This window comes from Homo sapiens, chromosome 9 (assembly GCF_000001405.40).
Source record: "Homo sapiens chromosome 9, GRCh38.p14 Primary Assembly".
NCBI classification, from domain to species: domain Eukaryota; kingdom Metazoa; phylum Chordata; class Mammalia; order Primates; family Hominidae; genus Homo; species Homo sapiens.
Window position 1 is genome coordinate 37,779,568 of NC_000009.12, and position 9,175 is coordinate 37,788,742.

Genomic DNA, 9,175 nt, shown 5'->3' on the forward strand with positions numbered 1-9,175 from the left:
TAGTACTCAGGTGACTGGTACACCAAAATCTCAGACTTCACCACTATACAATTCATCCGTGTAATCCAAAACCACTTGTACCCCTAAAAGCTATTGAACTAAAAACCATCCAGTCCTTAGAAAACATTAGAAACACACGAAGCTCCTTGGTCTTTATCAACAAATAGAGTTCTATAATCTCTTTGATCCAAAAAGGACTTTCTATGGATAGGCTTCAGGGGATCTGTATCTCACATATTCTCAGAGGTCTAGAAACCAAGAATCACTGATGTGGATCACCTGGCAGTCTCTTTACCTCTAAAGGTTTTGGTTAATATACTAAATAGCATAGAAGAGTTTTCTATGCTTAGCTCCTAGGAAATGATTTTAGCAAAATAAGACTTGGCCAGATTTGGATTCAGAAATCCTCATAGTGTTATTTATATAATGATAAAACTCAAAAATATCCTGTAACATGAAATATGTGACTAAAGTTGTGAAATGTATCATGCTGTTTGAAGTAGACAAAAGTATATTACAAAGTGGCATATAAGCTATAATAACTATAATTTCAATTTGATGAATATAGAGAATGTAGGCCAAGTTAAATTCTGTGCCTCAGTTTCAATTATGAGGATAAGTGTCTTCTGCAGTTAGAATAAAGGAGTTAATCCATGCAAAACACAATACTTGGTAAATGAAAAAGTATTTCGTTGTTATATACTCACCCGCTGAATAATGGGACTACAGGTGACATTTCTTTGCTGCTTTATACTTAGGTATTCCACATTTCCTCTGGTGAACCTGGCTTACTGTTATAATCACAAAATTATTTTACTGCTGACCTCCAGTTAATTATGGAAGCTGTAGCAATTACTAAGGGAGTTAACTCCAAATAAACCCTAATACTGTTTTTTAGTAAACTTTATTGTACCGAACAAAAAAAATGATTTTGCAATGATTTTCTCTCCCACAAAAGCGTGGGTGAAAACCAGTAACTTATAAAAATACTTTCGGACTCTAATAATACATACATTCACACCTTATCTTCTGAGTATTTAAATGGGGGAGGTTCACCTGAAAAAACCCATAGTTTTTTGCCTCAACTGACCTGTAAAAAAGTCCACCTATATCAACTTTCTGCCAATCTGGAGAAGATCTGTTTTCTTTGATCTGACGTCATGTGTTCACAAGCTTCTAAAATGTTTGCCAAAATTAAAGTCTGCTGGATGGTTTTTGCCTTAACCCATATTCTTCCATTCATTCCAAATACTATCTCCAGTGGATAGAGTTTTCCCACTTCCTGTATGATTTCACAATCTGGAGCTAATAGCCTGGTGGGAAGAGAAAAGAAAATGAAATTTAATGAAGTGGCAAAGGTGTGTCCGGAGTCTCCTTTAGAATGTGATTCCTTTTCTGAGCAGTTCTCCATAGCTGTTCAACAAGAACAAGGCACGTGATGACATTTGCTGCCTCCTTTCTTCCAAGAAGGAACTTTACACTGTTCAAAGGTATACTAGAAATCACAGAGGTGGGCTATGCCTTACAAAGAAATCAAACTCCCTAGGTTACCAACTTTGTAAAAGTCATTCCCCTAGATGGTCAGAGCACTTTAATTCTAGACTGGGAATCATAACTTTTTTTATCTACAGTGTTAAGACACTTTAAACTTATTTTCCTGGCCATATTATTCTCTTGTGTTAAATTCAGTACTTGGAGAGGAACATTGGCTCTTTCAAACCATAAGGGTGGTGCTTGGTTAATAACATGCTTCTTGGTTAAAAACATGCTTCTCTGATGTCCAAACTTAATTCTCCAGATCTTTAGGATATGTAGTAAGGAGAGGCATACAAGATAGCTCTCAACTTCACTGGCTCTAGGAGTAAAGCCCCTGAATATGGCACAGCTTTGGGTGGGTAAAGTTCTAAACACCAAAAAGAGAATCTGCCTCAGCATGAACCTCAGTATGCCTCAGTATGACCAAGTGTCAGAAGCCTTCTGTGAATGTCTACATAACCTTGAACATCACAATCTAAGCTGCGTGTGACCCCCATAATTAGAAAAAATTGATAATTTTATACAACTGCAGACTGCATCTGTATTCAAGTGACTCAGAACAGGGGAAAGGCCAGTTTTCACATTTGGGCTAAGTCAAATAAGCAACAGGCCTGGGAAGGAAGATATGAATACAGAGTAAGAGCTTAAGGCATGAAGTATCAGCCCACCAGAAACTACACAGCCAAACACATCTGAATTTGATATGTTTCCAAGAAGATAGGATTAAATTCATGAGTTTCCAAATGTGTTAAAATGGATACTGATTTCTAACTCTGAGGAGAAATTCAAACGTTACAAAGAATCTGAATCCTGAAGATTAACCAACTTTCCAAGAATGTATAATTATAAAAAGCAGTCAAGCCAGCAGACATCAGGACTTACTTTCTAATTAAGCCCAGAGTCACTTTAAAAAGCAGACCATCCTGTCCAATGACACCCATTCCATTGGCTCGTCCACAGCTGTCAATACAGACCATCTCTGGTTCCATGTCTTTATTAGCAACCACAAACTGGCCATAGATGAGATCTCCAACCTACAATGATATTAAAAACCAGTTCATTTCCTCTCAGCAAACTACAGGTGCTACTATTGGTTCTTTCTCACAGGCATCAATGCCAGCCACCTACAGTTCTGTGGCTAAGGGACTGACTGCACTATAGGATTCCCACAGTCACTTTGGAGTTGAGTCTTGGGGAAAAAAAGGAACACATGTATCATTCCCTTTCACCAATCAGGAAATCACAGACGAGGAGCCATCTCAAGGCCAGAGAACACTAGGATTGCACTGTCCAATATGGTAGATAGCCAATTGTTTAAACTTACATTTAAATTAAAATTAGGTATTTAAAATTAATTTCCTGAGTTGCATTAGCCACATTTCAAGTGCTCAACAGCTAGTGGCTACCATACTAATCAGTGCAGATACAAAACAGCATCACTGTAGAAAGTTATATTAGGTCGCACTACCCTAGAGAATTACAGATTTACAGAGAAAGGAAGGAACTCCGGCATGCAAATTATTCAAAGCAAAATCAAACAATAATTCACTGACACTTCTCCCTGCAGGATTTACTTAAAAACCTCATAGAGCTAAACTTCAAAGGGACGAAACTGAGGAAATGGAGAGTGAACTCATTCTGTTCACTCAACAAAACGTATTAAGTACCTACTGTTTGTTGGTGACTATGTAAACTAGAAAGGAACAAAACATTCTCTGCTTTTCAGAAGCATTTGGTCTTGGAGGGCAGTGGGGAGGTACATATAAACAAACCTCAGTCAAGGCTCAATCCAGTAAGTGCTAGAGCAAAGATACGAGAAAAGTGGCAACTAGAGATGGCTTTACAGAGGTGGTCATGTTTAGCCTACGTCTCAAAGAATGAGAATGTGTTCCATAGGGTGCGAAGGGATAGTGCAATCAAGACAGTGGGAACAGCATGTGCAAATAAGGGCAGGAAATTGAGTTTAATGGCGTTTGGTGTGATTTGAGTATGGCTGTATGAAGGATATAATTAGGGATGAGGAAAGACACCTGGAGTGTAATGCCAAGGAATTCTGTAGATTTTGGAGAATCTTGTCTTTTCGAGAAAGTGACCGTGTGAGGATGTCAGCTCTCAAAATCCTGGATGGTGAGGTAAAAGCGTGGAGGCAGGGATTAATGAAGAAGTGACTGAGACCAGTCAAGAGGGAGCTGAAGCCTGAACTTGTGGAGATAAAGGGACGGACATGCCAAAGATCAGAGACAGAATCAAATAGGATCAAAATAGGATTAAGCAACTAAATTTGCATGAGAAGTGAATGAGAAGAGGTGAAGAAATCACTAAATTTCAGGCTGGATAGACAAGAAGAGTGTGGCTATGCTACCTGAAAAGCTCAAATTGAAAACCCAAGGTAACAATATTACTCCTCTATCAGCTCCTAGGACCTACAGCCAGGATGGATGGATAGCTGATAATGTCAATTTGCACCACCTGTCCCTCCTCTAAGCCTACAGCAGACATCCTTGTCCAGAGGATATGGACATAACAAATAATGGCGATGATAGATACAACCTTTCAACTCAGTAGAAATGAAACATCCCAAGAACAAATGTAGCCAATGTAAAATAAATTGTAAATGTAAAAAATAATAATAATAATTATGTGGCTCTGATCCTGGAGCATCTGAAGAAACTCTTGGAGCCTGGGGCAATTATATACAAGCTCAGAGATCTAGGTCATGCTTTGGAGACAATTCAGATAGCCTTCTGGATATGTGAGTGTTCTAGGGAATGGATGTTTGTTTCTTTGAAACCAAAGGCTCCCGTAATTACCTGCACATTTGGTCTGTTTCTTTTAGTTGCACCTTCAAATGACAAGTAAGACAAAGAAGCTGGCTCACTCCCTCCAACATCAACTTTGAATATATCTCCAGATTTAGCTGTCACTATGCCAATCACATGGTCTCCTTTTACTGGAACATACTACAAAAAGAAACAGAATGAAAAAACAGCCATAAATGACAAGATACCATTGGAAGATACCTTCAGCAAGTCCTTTGTGGTTACTTTATTGTCATTAAAGAGAAATCTGATCAAATGCCACTTTCGGTAAAAGAAAATCACTTCATAAAGTGCCGGGTGTGCAGCTTCTGGTAGTCTGTTAATTGAGTCCAAACTCCATTATCTCTTAGGCACCCCAACCAGTAAGTCTCTAGCTTTGTGGCATAAGTCCAGTGGCAAAGGAATCCTTACAACCAAGGAAGCCCATTCCATAGACAATTTTTTCTATATGAAATTCTTACCTGTTCTAGGAGAAATTAACTCCCTATGACATCCACTCATTGAGCCTAGTCCTGCCCTCTGAGACTCCAAACGGCAGGCCTGCTGTGGGGTTTTGAAGACTATAATCATGACTCACGGTCTCCAAACGTTTTTCTCTCCTGGTCGCCCTTCTCAGGCTATGTTCCTATTGTTCACGGTCCCTCTAAAGGACATGCAGAAGTGGGCACAAGACTACGGTGGCTCTAGGTTTGCCTGAACAAAAGAGGGCCTCAGGGTCCCTCTCTTCTTTTGGGAGGTCTTCTCAAAGCAGGGCTACCACTCTCACTGCCGCACCACCCCTCCGGAGTCCCAGCTCACCCGCTTCTGCTGAGAGTCCACCCAGTAAACACCGCCGCCGCTGCCACTGCCGGGCTCCTTGTGACGGAGGCGGCCGCACTTGGTGACCAGCAGGCGGTCCCCACAGCGCCGAAGGCCCGGACCGCATACAACGCGCACCCGCGAGCACGCTCTAGCATTCAGGCTCAACGGTCGCTCCACTGCACCCCCAGGGCCTTCCGCGTCCTCCTGTTCCGGCAGGAGCAGCTCCTCACCCGGGAGCACCACCTGACCTAGTACTGTGCGTGCAGCGCGCGCCCTGCTGCCCGCGAGAGATTCAGCCGCGACAGACGCAGGTTCGGCCATCGCGGGCTCCACCAAACACCGTTTCCGGTACCCGCCTTCCGCTTCCGCTCCGCTTCCAACACCCGCCCTTGAGGACTTTCCGTTTCCGGCAGTAGCGGTCCGTTGGATTCGGACCAGTTTATGAAGCTTGATGGCCGTCAGCTCACGGGTCCCTGTCCAAGGTGGCAGTGATTGTGGCCGGCCACCTATCTGACAGCCTGGCCGCGGGTCGGTATGAAAACCGCGCAGCTTGGTCCATCGAAAAGCCTCCACTTCCAGTGTCTCGGGTCGCGTGTTTTGTGACCGGTCGCATCGTGGGGATACGAGATACTTCCACTTAAGAGTTTCTTGGGATCTCTGGAAGCTGAGCAGAGGGGCTTTGAAAATTGGACGCTGGGGCCGGGCGCGGTGGCTCACGCCTGTAATCCCAGAAGTTTGGGAGGCCGAGGCGGGTGGATCATTTGAGGTCAGGAGTTCAAGACCAGCCTGGCCACCATGGTGAAACCCTGTCTCTACTAAAAATACAAAAATTAGCCGGGCGTGGTGGCACGCACGTGTAATCCCAGCTACTCGGAAGGCTGAGACAGGAGAATCACTTGAACCTAGGAGGCGGAGGTTACAGTGAGCCTAGATGGTGCCACTGCACTCCAGTCTGGAGGACAGAGTGAGACCCTGTCAAAAAAAAAAAAAAAAGGGAAATTGGACGCTAGGTGGGTTCATGGGACCTTCTTTCCGACTCCGCCCTCAGAAGAGTGGCTGACCTTTTAACAGGAAAAGTAGTTTTTTTCAAAATAAATAAAACCTTCTTGGTTGTTAGAGATCTAGTCACATTTAGAAAACACAGAGAAAAATAAAAGAAGAAAATAAACGATGTTTTAATCTTGCCCGTTTTTCTCCCTTGCTACACTGTAGTTCTGATTCTTTAGAGCCCAAGGTGTGGCATGAAATAGGTAATACCTGATGAATGAACGAATGTATTCCTTTGGTGTGTATTTCTCCCTAGACTTTTTCCCCCTGCAAATATACATATTTCACATGCTTCCGATAGCCCTACATGGCCTGGAATATCAGTAACTCAAATTTCCCTGGAGCACACTTAGTTGCGCACGTGAGAAGCAGTTGAATTCCAAACCCAAAGAGATTCCAATCATCTATCTGACTTTGGGGGTTCTATTTTAAATCACCGTTTTCTCTGTCAACTCGAACCTTCAATTAGTGCTTGATCAGATTCTCCAGCAGTGGTAGAATTCCTAGGGTCTGGGAGGCCGTGACTGACCGATTGCCTTTAGCGGCCCTCCCTTTCTACTGCTCATCTCTTTGAGGCACCTGCTTCCAACGTAATTTTTAGATTTTTTTTTTTAGACGGAGTCTCGCTCTGTCGCCCAGGCTGGACTACAGTGGCACCATCTCGGCTCACTGCAACCTCCGCCTCCCAGGTTCAAGCAATTCTCCTGCCTCAGGCTCCCGAGTAGCTAGGATTACAGGAGTGCACCACCGCACCTGGCTAATTTTTGTATTTTTAGTAGAGACAGCGTTTCACCATGCTGGCCAGGCTGGTCTTGAACGCCTGACCTCAAGCGATAGGCCCACTTTGGCCTCCCAAAGTACTGGGATTACAGGCATGAGCCACCAAGCCCGGCCGAATTTTTAGATTTTTTAGGATGATTAAGACAGATCATCTCTAACACACCCTCCAAATTTGGCAAGCCATTTTCCCCTGGGTATAAAAAAAGGTCAACAAATAAAAGGAGCTCCCACCTCCAGGTTAGTTTCCCTGGCAAGAGTGGGAGCTCCTGTGGCAGGGACAGCGTAAATTGTGCTCTCTTCCCCACTCCAGAAGTATTCGGTGACCACGCCTGCCTCAATCTTGGCAGGCCCAAGGCCATGGCTCAAGGGCGCTCAAGGACCTCACATTCCGGCCAGGCAAACAGGCAGGTCGGTAAATGTTCTCTGGACCGTCTTTGATACACCCCATGTCGGTAGTGAAGTCTCTGGAGGAAACTCGGCCCAGATCTAGCGGCTGAGTCCTATGAGGCCCACTACCCTGTGGAGGCCGCACGTGGCGAGCGGTGTAGCTCTCTCGCGGGTCAAGGCAGATGAAACAGGGAGGCCGGGACCCGAAGGCGGTGGCTGGGCGGGGCTCCACTCCTGAACACCTACCACCCTGACACGCCCAGAGCGGGTGGGGCACGCGGGACCGCAGCCTGCCCACCAGACCGCGCGCAACCGAGGAGGTGTTTCGCCACCTGGCGGTCTTGCGCCCTGTCGAGAGTGAGCACCCGGTCCTAGGCGGCGGGAGCCCTAGGCCGCGAACGAGTGTCTCGAACCCGGCTTCAAGCCGTCGAGGGCGCGCGGGTCGGTTCTAGCGTCCCATGGGTCGCGGTTCGCGTTTTCGGGCAGCGCGTGCCTCCTCTCCTGGTTATAAAAGTGGGAAAAGTGCAACGACTGGGGAATGCAGAGGAGGCCAGAGCCCGGTGCAGGCGGCGTGCGCGCTTTGCCCTCTGCGGGTGCGTGTGTTTCCTTGCCAATCGCGAGGTGGATTACGCCCGTTCTCTTCAGAGGCTTACTGGTTTCGAGCCGAAGCAGTCGAGACTGCTCACCTTTCCAGTGCCTCTGGCCTACGTCTCCCCATTCGGAGTGTAACCAGGCCCCTTGAGATTTAAGTAGTCTGGCATTTTTAGTAACTGAAGTATTGAAAATTCCGTTTGGTGTTTTTTTTTTTTCTGTTTTGTTTTGTTTTTTGTTTTTGAGGCAAAGTCTCGCTCTGCCGCCCAGACTGGAGTGCAGTGGTACGATGTCGGCTCACTGCAACCTCCACCTCCTAAATTCAAGCGATTCTCTTGCCTCAGCCTCCCAAGTAGCTGGGATTACAGGCATGCACCACCATGACTGGCTAACTTTTGTATTTTTAGTAGAGAGGGGGTTTCGCCATGTTGGCCAGGCTGGTCTCAAACTCCTAACCTCAAATGATCCGCCTGCCTCGGCCTCCCAAAGTGCTGGGATTCCGGACGTTAGCCACCGCGCCCGGCCGTAGTGAAAATTCTGATCAGGCCCTTGCCTGCATGCACATAGTAAGCGCTCCCGTTTTGCCCAATATCTCTTGTTCCCACAATATAATTATAAACTGCTGTTGTCCTGTTTCTTTGTCTAGCAGGAGAGATAACTTCAGGGTCATGAAAATATTTTGCAGAAGGAATGAATGCCATTAAGGACTTTTTGACCAGCTGCTGACACCCATAAGTCTGGTTGCTCAAAGTTTTATCTGAGACTGTAGAGGCACAGACTTTTCCCCTCTGTTCCCGGAAACCCTCCCTCACACCCTACCCCATAAAAACGCCTGCTGTCATCTCTTTGTTAAGTAACATTTGAGAGATCTTGCTCTTCCGCCTTCTTGCTTTGGCCCAATTGAACAAACCTTTCTCTATCTCCAAGCACCTGTGTCTTAGCGTTTGGCTTCAGCTCTGCATCAGGTACATGAGACTGAATTTGGGGTTACACAACATTAGTATGACATATGGGGAAATTGCCAAATTGACCTTTGGAAAGGTTGGACCAGAGTGTAGCTTTCTGGACTCCTCCCAGAACTTCCTCTTCATAACTAATCTTTGCTAGTTTAGAAGTTAGAAACGTGGCATCTCACGGTTGCTTTTCTTTACCGACTGGTGAGGTTGGGCATTTGTTCCTTTTAACCAACACTAGTTGAGCATTTGCTTTCAGCC

At 45.3% G+C, this 9,175-nt stretch overlaps 1 protein-coding gene across 2 annotated transcripts, besides 3 other annotated features; it reads right to left on the reverse strand.

The window, feature by feature from the left end:
• On the reverse strand, window positions 147-5,525 carry EXOSC3 (exosome component 3). Of its 2 annotated transcripts, NM_016042.4 has the most exons (4): window positions 5,154-5,497; window positions 4,347-4,496; window positions 2,419-2,570; window positions 147-1,313 (listed from the first exon to the last, which is right to left on the reverse strand). In NM_016042.4, exons 1-4 carry the CDS (start codon window positions 5,475-5,477, stop codon window positions 1,112-1,114), a joined length of 828 nt encoding a protein of 275 aa, NP_057126.2. In that variant the 5' UTR covers window positions 5,478-5,497; the 3' UTR covers window positions 147-1,111. The 2 variants fall into 2 exon arrangements, with proteins under 2 accessions (NP_057126.2, NP_001002269.1); NM_001002269.2 differs by lacking the exon at window positions 2,419-2,570 and having other exon boundaries at window positions 5,154-5,525.
• Window positions 5,180-5,239: an enhancer, noted in NCBI's record as "active region_28402". NCBI's record gives its function as "activates an Ori minimal core promoter by ATAC-STARR-seq in GM12878 lymphoblastoid cells {active_cell/tissue: GM12878}" and the evidence as "EXISTENCE:reporter gene assay evidence [ECO:0000049][PMID:35858748]".
• Window positions 5,237-5,752: an enhancer, noted in NCBI's record as "H3K27ac hESC enhancer chr9:37784801-37785316 (GRCh37/hg19 assembly coordinates)". NCBI's record gives its function as "activates a minimal SCP1, AML or CMV promoter by ChIP-STARR-seq in naive and primed H9 embryonic stem cells {active_cell/tissue: H9 hESC(naive and primed)}" and the evidence as "EXISTENCE:reporter gene assay evidence [ECO:0000049][PMID:30033119]".
• Window positions 5,250-5,389: an enhancer, noted in NCBI's record as "active region_28403". NCBI's record gives its function as "activates an Ori minimal core promoter by ATAC-STARR-seq in GM12878 lymphoblastoid cells {active_cell/tissue: GM12878}" and the evidence as "EXISTENCE:reporter gene assay evidence [ECO:0000049][PMID:35858748]".